At 37.3% G+C, this 14710-nt stretch overlaps 1 protein-coding gene and 1 long non-coding RNA gene across 7 annotated transcripts in view; one reads left to right on the top strand and one right to left on the bottom strand.

Annotated features, from left to right (window-relative positions):
- Nucleotides 1–14710, top strand: part of SPHKAP (SPHK1 interactor, AKAP domain containing) — a 201733-nt gene that overhangs the window by 134590 nt on the left and 52433 nt on the right. The gene's annotated exons all lie outside the window — the stretch shown is intronic.
- LOC105373918 (uncharacterized) overlaps nucleotides 5004–14710 on the bottom strand; it is a 79493-nt gene continuing 69786 nt past the window's right edge. The window contains exon 3 of the long non-coding RNA XR_001739908.2: nucleotides 5004–5090. This is a non-coding gene — a long non-coding RNA (uncharacterized LOC105373918). The remainder of the gene's footprint in view (nucleotides 5091–14710) is intronic.

The raw sequence follows: 14710 nt of genomic DNA, 5'->3' as shown, positions 1-14710 counted from the left end.
ACATATACTCACTTATATTTTGGAGAGTTATTCCACTTTTGTTTGTTATCTCATTCAGGTACTGATACTGAAATTTAAAAATGTATTTGGCAAGAGCTATTTGAAGCCCAAGAATATTTTTTATGCTTTTATTCTGCTTTCAAGTGGGAAAATGTTAACTAGAAGTTAACATGTGGAATCATAATGAGGTTGGGGAATGCCAAAAGGATAAACTTCAATGCTCAGCTGCCCTTGCCCAGATAGTGTTGTCTCTTCTTGCCCAAGGAGGGGGGTCTTTTTGAGGCTTTTCTGAAGGCCCTGAATAGAGGGTTCACATATCCTTCAATTACCTCCTGGAATTCTCAGTCTCAGACAGGAAAATAGAATGATATTACAAAGAATTTTTCTTTATTCTTTTTGTTGTTGTTGTTTTCTGAATATACTAAAGCCAGATTAATGAGTGCTTCAGGGAATAAAGTCAGAAACATTGAAATATGAAAGAAACAAACAAAAAACTCAGTTCCCTATCCTGTAGCTGTCAATGATTTTTGGTAGCATTAAAGAATATGAAGTGTTGGCAAGCTTTTTGAATCACCTATTTATTTTTAATACTTGGTTCCACAACTGGAATTTAAGTGCAAAATTTATTCACCACAACTTAGCACCCTGAGCTCGCTTAAGCTACTGCTTGCATCGTAAAGGCCATTTTCCTAAAAGTCATTGCCTAAAACAAGTGAAGTTCAAGGGAGTAAATTAGATGAAGAACACAGAAATCAGGATATACATCGTTTTTACCAACAGAGACCAAAAAAAAAAAAAAAAAAAAAGAATAACAACAGTATTCAGCATGCAGAAAATGTTTTGAAACACGGATTTTTATTGTTTTAGTTTACTTTGAAATATTTAATGAACAAACAAAAATTGCATATATTCAGGGTATACACCTTGATTTGACCTATGTATACATTGTGTACTGATTACTGTAATCTAATTATCACAGCCATCACCACCCATAATTACCGTATGTGTGTGTGTGTGTAGGGGGTGGGATGAAGGCAGTTAAAATCTGCTCTTTATCAAAATTCAAGTAAACAATATAGTACAATTAAGTATAGTCACCATGCTGTACATTAGATCTCCAGAACTGATTCATCTTAAAACTGAAAGTTTATTCCCTTTGACCAATTTCTCCCCATTTTTCTCATCCCCCAGCCCCATGCAATCACCATTCTACTCTCTGCTTCTGTGAGTTTGGCTTTTTTAGATTTCACGTATAAATGAGTTAATACAGTACTTATCTTTTCGTGCCTGGCTTATTTCATCTAGCATAATGTCCTCCAGATTCTATTTTTTTTCTTTTTTTTATTATTATTATACTTTAAGTTTTAGGGTACGTGTGCACAATGTGCAGGTTTGTTACATATGTATATATGTGCCATGCTGGTGTGCTGCACCCATTAACTCGTCATTTAGCATTAGGTATATCTCCTAATGCTATCCCTCCCCGCTCCCCCAATCCCGCAACAGTCCCCGCTGTGTGATGTTCCCCTTCGTGTGTCCATGTGTTCTCATTGTTCAATTCCCACCTATGAGTGAGAACATGTGGTGTTTGGTTTTTTGTCCTTGCGATAGTTTGCTGAGAATGATGGTTTCCAGCTTCATCCATGTCCCTACAAAGGACATGAACTCTTCATTTTTTATGGCTGCATAGTATTCCATGGTGTACATGTGCCACATTTTCTTAATCCAGTCTATCATTGTTGGACATTTGTGTTGGTTCCAAGTCTTTGCTATAGTGAATAGTGCTGCAATAAACATACGTGTGCATGTGTCTTTATAGCAGCATGATTTATAATCCTTTGGGTATATACCCAGTAATGGGATGGCTGGGTCAAATGGTATTTCTAGTTCTAGATCCCTGAGGAATCGCCACACTGCCTTCCACAATGGTTGAACTAGTTTACAGTCCCACCAACAGTGTAAAAGTGTTCCTATTTCTCCACATCCTCTCCAGCACCTGTTGTTTCCTGACTTTTTAATGATTGCCATTCTAACTGGTGTGAGATGGTATCTCATCGTGGTTTTGATTTGCATTTCTCTGATGGCCAGTGATGATGAGCATTTTTTCATGTGTTTTTTGGCTGCATAAATGTCTTCTTTTGAGAAGTGTCTGTTCATATCCTTTGCCCACTTTTTGATGGGGTTGTTTGTTATTTTCTTGTAAATTTGTTTGAGTTCATTGTAGATTTTGGATATTAGCCCTTTGTCAGATAAGTAGGTTGCCAAAATTTTCTCCCATTCTGTAGATTGCCTGTTCACTCTCCAGATTCTATTTTAGTAACTAATTAGCATCATTGTCAAAGGAAACAAATATGAAAAACTAGTTGTTATCCTACTCACTGTAATAGATGTTCCCTCTTGTATTTTGTTTTGTTTTTCTCCAATTACTTTTTCTATGTATTTATTCATTATGTGTCAACTATAGTTTGCAGAATTCCATTTTTCAAAGGCTTGAATTTAATGGTCATTTTTTTTGAAAAGTGAGTTACCTCTCAACACTTGGCAGTCTGTTAGAAGATTTAAATTAATGAGTTCCTAAAGCATCCAATCTATAGGGATAGTAATTCAGATACATGCCTTGGGCTAAAGTTTTCATATGCAGACCTGGAGCAGGCCAAATAGAGTGGTTCTTAGAGTACCCGTGAAACTAAGAACCACTTGATGTCTTTTATTAATATAGATATTCAATCTGGATAATTCCGTTAAAAAAAGAAGCACCTCTCCTGCATTTGCAACTATATTTTAGGACTAAATCCTCTAAATATTTTTCTACTTCCCTATGTAGAGTCACTCAAGTTGTGCCTTTAGTCATTGCTTTGAGTTGTTGGGATTTTTAATAAATTTTACCTATACCAATGAGATTGCAGCATGCTTAATTATTAAAGATGTACAAAGTGTTTGCTCAATTATACCTGAGGCTTCTTGGAGAGGTTAAGTTTGGAGTTATTTAGTAGTTTGGTTGTCAAACATATGAGAGATGAATGTTAGATGTTTGGTTTAGATAAACTATTTGTATTTTTAAATTAAGTTCACTATCACTTATTCACCATGATTCTAAGTATATAAATTATCTTTTATCTATTCTAAAATAATTGAGCTGTTCAGATTACAAACATGACTTTCTACCTTTTCTTTTTTCATATTTTCTCTGTGCAAATGTGTATGACTTTCAGAAAAGGGAGAAAGCAACCACTAGATGTTATTATGTTTTATTACTTTAAAGGTGAAAAAAGTCTTTAATGGAAGCTTAGTGGAAGAGTTAAAACATAAAATTCTACAAAATTGTAAAGCATGCAATATTATGTTCAATTTATCACGTCTGTGGCACTTTTTCTTACACCATAGTCAAAGTTAGGTTGTCTCATTGTACCTGAGGAAGATTTTTGTCAATTATTTGATTAGCTTTTTAACATCAATGAAAACTACATCCTTGGCCAAGTGCAGTGGCTCACACCCGTAATCCCAGCACTTTGGGAGGCCAAGATGGGCGGATCACTTGAGGTCAGGAGTTCAAGACTAGCCTGACCAACATGGTGAAACCCTGTCTCTACTAAAAATACAAAAATTAGCCAGGCATGGTGGCACGTGCCTGTAGTCCCAGCTACTCGGGAGGCTGAGGCATGAGAATTGCTTGAACTTGGAAGGCAGAGGTTGCAGTAAGCCGAGATCGTGCCACTGCACTCCAGCCTGGGCGACAAAGCGAGACTCCATCTCAAAACAAAAGGAAACGAAAAAGTGCATCCTCAACTAACTCTTTTAAATGTTTAAATTAAAGCTAGCCTATATATCCTTTCATACATTGTGTTGAGAAATTGAAATTATGCCTTGGATTCACGGGTTTGATCTGTACATACAAGCTGGCATTTGCTCATTCTGATCCAATATTTTTTTCTCTAATAATAAAGGATCTGTTGTCTGCAGGTCTATAAGTTCTCTCAGCATTATTCATTTTTGAAATTTAATCAGCAATAATGACTAGGAAATGGTTGATATTTTTAACATGTCTATATTTCCGTTTTAAATTGCAGTCTTTTTGTAATTTCATGTATGTAGTTGGATACCTATTGCGCATCTCTTGCAATCATTCCCTGGTATTATAATACATGATAACAGGCAGCACCCATAATGCTGGCACCCATTTATATCCATTAAGTCATAAACACCTCTGGGAACAAGATGGAAGTCTTTTCTTAATTAAATGTTCCATAGCCCTGAAAAACAAAATAACATTTGGTTCTTATACATAAGTAATAAAGGTTTAGAAAAGGCAATTTAATGTCTTAGGTCAGTAGATAACATTTATATAATTAAACAGAAATAAATACTTACGCCAAGTAAATAGAAATTGGGTGGCAGAAAAAATAATTACAGGCAAGGAGCCAAATTTTAATTGTTTTATGTTCTCAGAAATGACGGTTCTTTATAAATATTCTATCTCAGTCACCAAAAAACTACATATTATTCTATTTATATTAAATTTCCAGAACAAACAAATCTATAGAAATATAAAGTAGATTAATAGTTGCCTAGGGCTGGGAAAAGGGTATTTTGGGGAAATGGTGAATGACTGCTAATGGATATAGCTTCTTTTAGAAATGATGACTATACTAAAAGTTATTGAATCACACACTTTAAATGGATACGTCATATGGTATGTAAATTAGATCTGAATAAAGCCATTATCTTTAAAAAATAAATATATAATAATAGTAAGAATTGATAAATAATTGAGTAAATATCCTCAGGCCCCAACCCGAGATTTTGATTAAATAGTTGTGGTTCAGAGCGCAGGAACATACAAGTGTAAGAACTCCGTCCAGATGATTCTGATGTGCCATGCAGGCAGGTTAAGTGCTCCTACTCACAGAGCCCATTGGTCTTCAGACCTAAATGCAGCTCCTTCCAGGAGTAAGCCAGTACCTGTGATGCTCCATTGGTTGTTTGTTTGTTTGCACGATTGCTTGTTTTTATGTTGTTCTTGTTTGTTTGTTTCTTTTTCTTCTGCTCTCTCCTACTTGGGCCCTTTAATTTCCACTTTCACTTTCTTCTCCCTTTTCCAGGAAACAAGAGTAGTCCTCATAGTTATGGTTCGGCCTTAAGACTGCCGACTAGTAAAGATGATTAGCTGCTCTGTTTCTAAGACTCACCTGACAATTCACAACCCACAGGACATGGCTCCCATCTCCTTTCCTCACAACAGCATAGGAGCTGAGAGCAGAGCCAGAGTCTGCACATCCCCTCCCACGGCCAGTGTCCTCCGCTCCACATGACCACCTAGATTCATTCAGCAAATCTGCACTGTATTACATAGAGTAATACAGTTACTCTAAGACAAGGTTATACCCTCTAGTGATCATAAGATTTCAGAGAATGTAGAACTGTTTTCTTTTTTCTTTTTTTTTTTTTTTTTTTGAGACAGAGTCTGACTCTGTCACCCAGGCTGGAGAGCAGTGACACGATCTCTGCTCACTGCAACCTCCTCCGCCTCCTGGGTTCAAGCGATTCTCCTGCCTCAGCCTCCTGAGTAGCTGGACTACAGGCACGCACCACCACGCCTGGCTAATTTTTGTATTTTTAGTAGAGACAGGGTTTCGCCATGTTGGCCAGGCTGGTCTTGAACTCCTGAATTCCTGTGATGCACCTGCCTCGGCCTCCCAAAGTGCTGGGACTACAGGTGTGAGCCACTGTGCCCAGCCCAGAACTGTCTTCTGAACAAATACTTGGAGAATCCTGATTTAACTTTCCTAAGAGCCCTTGGAGGTAAAAATGTTTAGCCCCGAGAAAAAAATTAGTGCCTGGAATATCTGCCTTAAACTTAGAGTCTAGTGTTAGCATGTAGTGGAATTCAACAAAAAATTGCTGATTGATGGAAAACAGAGAATAGTCACACTAGAGAAACTGCCAGTGGCTGATAAAACACAAGAAAGCTATTCCTAAAAAATCATATAGGAAAACATCTTATGGTATTGTGTATTTTTAATATGTTAATTTTCTATTACCGCTTTATTTTTATATAGCCCAGAGCACATTTTTCCAAGCAGGTGAAATGTAGAAACACATTTTTCTACTGATTCTTTAGTTTTCTTCTAGTCCACATAATTACTTAGGGCCTACTTTCAGGAAGGAAACACTTGCTACTAGCAGTTCTTTAAAATGGAAATCTAAAATAAATATAATGTGTTACATATCTAGTAAATGTACATCAGACATTACATATAAGTGTATCCTCGATTCAAATGAAATGTCTAAGACAATAACACTAAATTTTTATGGCAAAATAGACAATTATCTTGAGTGCATACTTATTTTTTTAATTTTATTTTTTAAGCTGTCAATACAATTGGCTTCAGGTAGGTTTAGTTAAAAGATCTCTAGTATTTTAGATATTTGTACTCCTTTTACTGTATCTCTTATCACAAACTGCTTGAAGAGCTTCCCCCAGAATTGCAGTTCAAAATTATTTTTAATGCTGACAATAAAAAAAGAGAAGCTGGACAGTCTTAAATGTAAATAAAACTTTATATTTCATTTTGTGTAATTGTTGCAATCACTTCAAAGCAATGACTGGATATAAATGCAACATTTTCTCAAACAGTCGAATGTATTCCGGAATGTCCACAGCATGGGTGGCATAACACCGTTGATGAAAAAATTGCCTACAGTACTAGGCAGAAAATGTCATATTCTTTAGAAGGTAATTTTGGTCCAGGGTCCTGAATCTAACAGAAGCCTTTTGGTTAGAAAAAGAAAGGAGGCAATGTTTTCTTTAGACGCTTTGTGAATCAGCATTTTGATGCCATCAAATTAAGAGATGCTGTCATATCCCACATGGCCAGATGGCTGCATTGTTAGAAGCTGCTCAAAGAAGGAATTGGTTTTCTTCTAAGAAAAACTGTTAGTAAATATTTGGTCATATTCAACATTCAAATGCCTAGATTTTAAGGCAATTTGACATCATGCTTTTGGTTAATATTTTCTGAAAAAGTTTTCTTAGTAGATGTTAGCTAACTTTAGGAAAAATGAAAAAAAATCAAGCAGAGGAAATCAAAGGGCTCACCTCCTAGGCTAAAACCCTGCTGTCATCTGACCCCTTGCACAGTGATTTCCCCCTAGTGGACGCAGAATACAATGACATTTCTTGATGGTTGCATTTCACTATCAGAATAGTCTAAAATGTTGACTAAAATTAATACATGAAAACATAAAACTGCACTTATGATATGGATTTGATCCCAACAATTGTCATCATCAGTTCTTTCTATGTGTTTAATTCAAAAAGTCAAACTCATTTTTATCTTATATAAAAGCACTGATTTTGTCTGACTTTATCTGTCAAAATAAAACTGTTTAGAAAATACAGTTGCCTCGCAAAAGTTGCTGTGAATTACAATTCACTTAAAAATGACTGTGTTTTGTATTGAATACTAGATTTTCATGTCATCCTCTTCCTCACATTAGCTTTTCACAAAAATATATTTTATATCACTAGTTAATAAAATTTCACAACAAAATTTTAGTTTTACAAATGCCTACATGGAACTTCATTTATGAAAAGAGAGTCATAAATAAGAGTAATCACTGTGATTACTTGGCTAATAACCCATAATACTAAAAAAAACTGTGTATTTCCTATAGACATTCAAATTTTATTGTATGTAAGTAGTTGTGAGGAATATTTTATTAAAGTCAAAATCATAAGGTGGCATCATCTTCTCAGTGACATTTATTCCTGCAATGTTTTGTTTAAAAACCATAATAGTGATAGAAGAGCAGCATTAGAGTGTAAAAGGTGGAGTACAACCACAAGATTAGCTCTGTTCAGGAAGCAAGAGAAGAAGTGCTCGTGTTCTTTCGGGATGATGTGTGTTTCCATCTGCTTCAGCTAAGTATGTCTGCAGATGGTCTCAGTAAGGACACGTGCACAAACACACAAAAGAAATGTATTTTATGTGAAGAGAAAGGAGCTGCCATTCCAAGAAAAATGTTAGCACCTTTTATGGGTCTTTATTACCAATTATGATTCTCAACATTTTGTCTTTGTCTGTTTTTTAGCAAATGCTTCTTTGTGAGAAAACGAAGCCAATCTAAGTACTGGAAATGGTAGCCAATAGCTGGTTTATTAGCTCATTTAATTCTCCTGTAGCTTCTGTACGTATTCCCTGTACCTTTATGGGAAGAAAACTGTTTATTGACTACATTCATTGGAATTCATTCTATAAATAAGGGAAATGATTATTACAAATGTCCCTTTCTTGTACACCTGTCACCTGCACTCACCAACGAGAATTTATTGAGCATCTGCCAGATGCCTGGCACCATGCTGAGCACTGGGAATCCAGTGATGGACAGGGCCTGCCCTCATGAACTAACAGGATGTGAAGACTGCAGGAAAATCCACTACTTCTATGTTCAAGAAAAAAGGATAATTATGTAAAAATACATACTTAAAAAAATCCTTTCCTAGGTCATTTGGCATATTTGGATTTGCTCATGCAGGCATTTTACAGAGAATGCAATAAGAGCACAGTAATTATGCCTTGTTCTCCATTGGCTGGTGGCTCCAGCATGCAGCCCTAGCCTCCCCACTGACAGGTTTCTCTCCAGCTCATGCAACCGTAATGCAGAATCTTCCAGGTTTTATCATTTTAGTCACACATAACATTCACCCTAACTGCCCCTGCAAAAAAAAATAAAAACTTTATTTCAGCTTCCCACTACCAAAAGTTTCCTCCTGTAATAACACTGTAAACATGTCCCCTGACCTCCAAGCTCACCTCAAATTCAGCCTTCTCCTGGATACCATTCATGATTGATCCAGTTCTCCCAACTCCCTTCTCCAGCACACGTGGCCCATGATGTTTCTGTCACTTTAAGGACATGTCCTGCCTTCAGACAGATCATAACTCCCAAGAGCAAAAACAATGCCTTGTATTGTTTGTCTTCTCAGCACCCAGCATTGACACCAAGCACTTTGAAGACATTCGATCTCCTCATCAAACGTTCAGTCTCCTCATCAAAGCCTCCTAATCCAGGCTCACCACTCCCCAGCTCTACTAGACAGAGGCTGGTCCTGTATTCTCTACTTGGACTTCAGCATTAGTGGTTGCTTAAATCTCAATTAATAGCCCAAACTTGTAGAGATTGAAAACTTGCTAAGAGCAATCCAGTCACATTGTCTATTTCATCAAGAAGTGGATTTACTGTAAAACTACCAAAATTTAGGTTTCAGGGCTGTTAATGTGCATAGGCCCCAGTTTCAAGGCCCTTGGGACAGGGCCTATCAATGTATTCACATGGTTATGTGTTTTTGTAAAATATTCAAAGTAAGATATTTTAACTATGCTTATCTCTTTCCATTTCGACTCCTACTACCTCTTATCTCCCCGCAAACTGAGAGTCATTGGAGTGACCACAGGTGTTATTGGGCTCTGGCTTAAGGGAAATTGAGGGGGGTTCTGTTTACATGAGATATATTTATGTAGCTTCAGGTCACTTTCGTATATAGTTAAGTGATTGCTAGCCATCCACATATAGGAATGACTTCCAGGAATGCTTCTACCATCAAGAGTGGTAACTCAAGCAGACATTGCAACATGAATGTGCCAGGTCAGGGATGGTGTGAGCATATCCTACAGTTTCCAATACAAAAATATGTAGGCAGTGAGAGGAAACAAGGTTTACATATCAGAAGCTATTCTGTGTAAAATTCTTCCAATCATCAGACATGTAAAACTTAAGTGCAAGATTGGGTCCTCTTTGATGCCCAGTCAACCAGAAATTTTCTCCTTGTGGGCATTCATTTGATAGTACAGCATTGAAAATCAGAAATGCATGATGCATTTTTTTTCATGGAAATCACACCAAAGAGAATCAATCCAAATTATGTCTTTAGAGTACAAAACTGTAAAGGTACTAAAAAGAGTGAGTATGCCTATAACAACTCATATATGAAAGAAACTGTACAGTAGTTTCCCACTGATTTTGACAATAAGCTGAAAAATATTTTATCTATTTATTTATTTATTATTATACTTTAAGTTTTAGGGTACATGCGCACAATGTGCAGGTTTGTTACATATGTATACAGGTGCCATGTTGGTGTGCTGCACCCATTAACTCGTCACTTAGCATTAGGTATATGTCCTAATGCTATCCCTCCCCCCTCCTCCCACCCCACAACAGGCCCCAGAGTGTGATGTTCCCCTTCCTGTGCCCATGTGTTCTCATGGTTCAATTCCCACCTATGAGTGAGAACATGCAGTGTCTGGTTTTTTGTCCTTGCGATAGTTTTCGGAAAATGATGGTTTCCAGCTTCATCCGTGTCCCTACAAAGGACATGAACTCATCATTTTTTATGGCTGCATAGTATTCCATGGTGTATATGTGCCACATTTTCTTAATCCAGTCTATCATTGTTGGACATTTGGGTTGGTTCCAAGTCTTTGCTATTGTGAATAGTGCCGCAATAAACATACGTGTGCATGTGTCTTTATAGCAGCATGATTTATAATCCTTTGGGTATATACCCAGTAATGGGATGGCTGAGTCAAATGGTATTTCTAGTTCTAGATCCCTGAGGAATGGACACACTGTCTTCCACAATGGTTGAACTAGTTTACAGTGCCACCAACAGTGTAAAAGTGTTCCTATTTCTCCACATCCTCTCCAGCACCTGTTGTTTCCTGACTTTTTAATGATTGCCATTCTAACTGGTGTGAGATGGTATCTCATCGTGGTTTTGCTTTGCATTTCTCTGATGGCCAGTGATGAGGAGCATTTTTTCATGTGTTTTTTGGCTGCATAAATGTCTTCTTTTGAGAAGTGTCTGTTCATATCCTTTGCCCACTTTTTGATGGGGTTGTTTGTTTTTTTCTTGTAAATTTGTTTGAGTTCATTGTAGATTCTGGATATTAGCCCTTTGTCAGATGAGTAGATTGCAAAAATTTTCTCCCATTCTGTAGGTTGCCTGTTCACTCTGATGGTAGTTTCTTTTGCTGTGCAGAAGCTCTTTAGTTTAATTAGATCCCCTTTGTCAATTTTGGCTTTTGTTGCCATTGCCTTTGGTGTTTTAGACATGAAGTCCTTGCCCATGCCTATGTCCTGAATGGTATTGCCTAGGTTTTCTTCTAGGGTTTTTATGGTTTTAGGTCTAACATGTAAGTCTTTAATCCATCTTGAATTAATTTTTGTATAGGGCATAAGGAAGGGATCCAGTTTCAGCTATCTACATATGGCCAGCCAGTTTTCCCAGCACCATTTATTAAATAGGGAATCCTTTCCCCATTGCTTGTTTTTGTCAGGTTTGTCAAAGATCAGATGGTTGTAGATATGTGGCATTATTTCTGAGGGCTCTGTTCTGTTCCATTGATCTATATCTCTGTTTTGGTACCAGTGCCATGCTGTTTTGGTTACTGTAGCCTTGTAGTAAAGTTTGAAGTCAGGCAGTGTGATGCCTCCAGCTTTGTTCCTTTGGCTTAGGATTGACTTGGCGATACAGGCTCTTTTTTTGTTCCATATGAACTTTAAAGTAGTTTTTTCCAATTCTGTGAAGAAAGTCATTGGTAGCTTGATGGGGATGGCATTGAATCTATAAATTACCTTGGGCAGTATGGCCATTTTCACAATATTGATTCTTCCTACCCATGAGCATGGAATGTTCTTCCATTTGTTTGTATTTTCTTTTATTTCCTTGAGCAGTGGTTTGTAGTTCTCCTTGAAGAGGTCCTTCACATCCCTTGTAAGTTGGATTCCTAGGTATTTTATTCTCTTTGAAGCAGTTGTGAATGGGAGTTCACTCATGATTTGGCTCTCTGTTTGTCTGTTATTGGTGTATAAGAATGCTTGTGATTTTTGTACATTGATTTTGTATCCTGAGACTTTGCTGAAGTTGCTTATCAGCTTAAGGAGATTTTGGGCTGAGACAATGGGGTTTTCTAGATATACAATCATGTCATCTGCAAACAGGGACAATTTGACTTCCTCTTTTCCTAATTGAATACCCTTTATTTCCTTCTCCTGCCTAATTGCCCTGGCCAGAACTTCCAACACTATGTTGAATAGGAGTGGTGAGAGAGGGCATCCCTCTCTTGTGCCAGTTTTCAAAGGGAATGCTTCCAGTTTTTGCCCATCCGGAATGATATTGGCTGTGGGTTTGTCATAGATAGCTCTCATTATTTTGAGATATGTCCCATCAATACCTAATTTATTGAGAGTTTTTAGCATGAAGCGTTGTTGAATTTTGTCGAAAGCCTTTTCTGCATCTATTAAGATAATCATGTAGTTTTCATCTTTGGTTCTGTTTATATGCTGGATTATGTTCATTGATTTGCATATGTTGAACCAGCCTTGCATCCCAGGGATGAAGCCCACTTGATCATGGTGGATAAGCTTTTTGATGTGCTGCTGGATTCGGTTTGCCAATATTTTATTGAGGATTTTTGCATCAATGTTCATCAAGGATATTGGTCTAAAATTCTCTTTTTTGGTTGTATCTCTGTCAGGCTTTGGTATCAGGATGATGCTGGCCTCATAAAATGAGTTAGGGAGGATTCCCTCTTTTTCTACTGATTGGAATAGTTTCAGAAGGAATGGTACCAGTTCCTCCTTGTACCTCTGGTAGAATTCGGCTGTGAATCCATCTGGTCCTGGACTTCTTTTGGTTGGTAAGCTATTGATTATTGCCACAATTTCAGAGCCTGTTATTGCTCTACTCAGAGATTCAACTTCTTCCTGGTTTAGTCTTGGGAGGGTGTATATGTCGAGGAATTTATCCATTTCTTCTAGATTTTCTAGTTTATTTGCGTAGAGGTGTTTGTAGTATTCTCTGATGGTAGTTTGTATTTCTGTGGGATCAGTGGTGATATCACCTTTATCATTTTTTATTGCATCTATTTGATTCTTCTCTCTTTTCTTCTTTATTAGTCTTGCTAGCGGTCTATCAATTTTGTTGATCTTTTCAAAAAACCAGCTCCTGGATTCATTAATTTTTTGAAGGATTTTTTGTGTCTCTATTTCCTTCAGTTCTGCTCTGATTGTAGTTATTTCTTGCCTTCTGCTAGTTTTTGAAAGTGTTTGCTCTTGCTTTTCTAGTTCTTTTAATTGTGACGTTAGGGTGTCGATTTTGGATTTTTCCTGCTTTCTCTTGTGGGCATTTAGTGGTATAAATTTCCCTCTACATACTTCTTTGAATGTGTCCCAGAGATTCTGGTATGTTGTGTCTTTGTTCTCATTGGTTTCAAAGAACATCTTTATTTCTGCCTTCATTTCGTTATGTATCCAGTAGTCATTCAGGAGCAGGTTGTTCAGTTTCCATGTAGTTGAGTGGTTTTGAGTGAGTTTCTTAGTCCTGAGTTCTAGTTTAATTGCACTGTGGTCTGAGAGAAAGTTTGTTATAATTTCTGTTCTTTTACATTTGCTGAGGAATGCTTTACTTCCAACTATATGGTCAATTTTGGAATAGGTGTGGTGTGGTGCTGAAAACAATGTATATTCTATTGATTTGGGGTGGAGACTTCTCTAGATGTCTATTAGGTCTGCTTGCTGCAGAGATGAGTTCAATTCCTGGGTATCCTTGTTAACTTTCTGTCTCGTTGATCTGTCCAATGTTGACAGTGGGGTGTTAAACTCTCCCGTTATTATTGTATGGGAATCTAAGTTTCTTTGTAGGTCACTAAGGACTTGCTTTATGAATCTTGGTGCTCCTGTATTGGGTGCATATATATTTAGGATAGTTAGCTATTCTTGTTGAATTGATCCCTTTACCATTATGTAATGGCCTTCTTTGTCTCTTTTGATCTTTGTTAGTTTAAAGTCTGTTTTATCAGAGACTAGGATTGCAACCCCTGCCTTTTTTTGTTTTCCATTTGCTTGGTAGATCTTCCTCCATCCCTTTATTTTGAGCCTATGTGTGTCTCTGCACGTGAGATGGGTTTCCTGAATACAGCACACTGATGGGTCTTGACTCTTTATCCAATTTGCCAGTCTGTGTCTTTTAATTTGAGCATTTAGCCCATTTACATTTAAAGTTAATATTGTTATGTGTGTATATGGTCCTGTCATCATGATGTTAGCTGGTTATTTTGCTCGTTAGTTGATGCAGTTTTCTTCCTAGCCTCGATGGTCTTTACATTTTGGCATGTTTTTGGAGTGGCAGGTACCGGTTGTTCCTTTCCATGTTTAGTGCTTCCTTCAGGAGCTCTTGTAGGGCAGGCCTGGTGGTGACAAAATCTCTCAGTATTTGCTTGTCTGTAAAGTATTTTATTTCTCCTTCACTTATGAAGCTTAGTTTGGCTGGATATGAAATTCTGGGTTGAAAATTCTTTTCTTTAAGAATGTTGAATATTGGTCCCTACTCTTTTCTGGCTTGTAGAGTTTCTGCCAAGAGATCAGCTGTTAGTCTGATGGGCTTCCCTTTGTGGGTAACCCGACCTTTCTCTCTGGCTGCCCTTAACATTTTTTCCTTCATTTCAACTTTGGTGAATCTGACAATTATCTTGGAGTTGCTCTTCTCGAGGAGTATCTTTGTGGCGTTCTCTGTATTTCCTGGATCTGAATGTTTGCCTGCCTTGCTAGATTGGGGAAGTTCTCCTGGATAACATCCTGCAGAGTGTTTTCCAACTTGGTTCCATTCTCCCCGTCAGTTTCAGGTACAGCAATCAGACGTAGATTTGGT

The sequence above is a fragment of the Homo sapiens genome, chromosome 2 (genome assembly GCF_000001405.40).
Source record: "Homo sapiens chromosome 2, GRCh38.p14 Primary Assembly".
NCBI classification, from domain to species: domain Eukaryota; kingdom Metazoa; phylum Chordata; class Mammalia; order Primates; family Hominidae; genus Homo; species Homo sapiens.
This window is presented reverse-complemented; position numbering and strand designations above follow the sequence as displayed.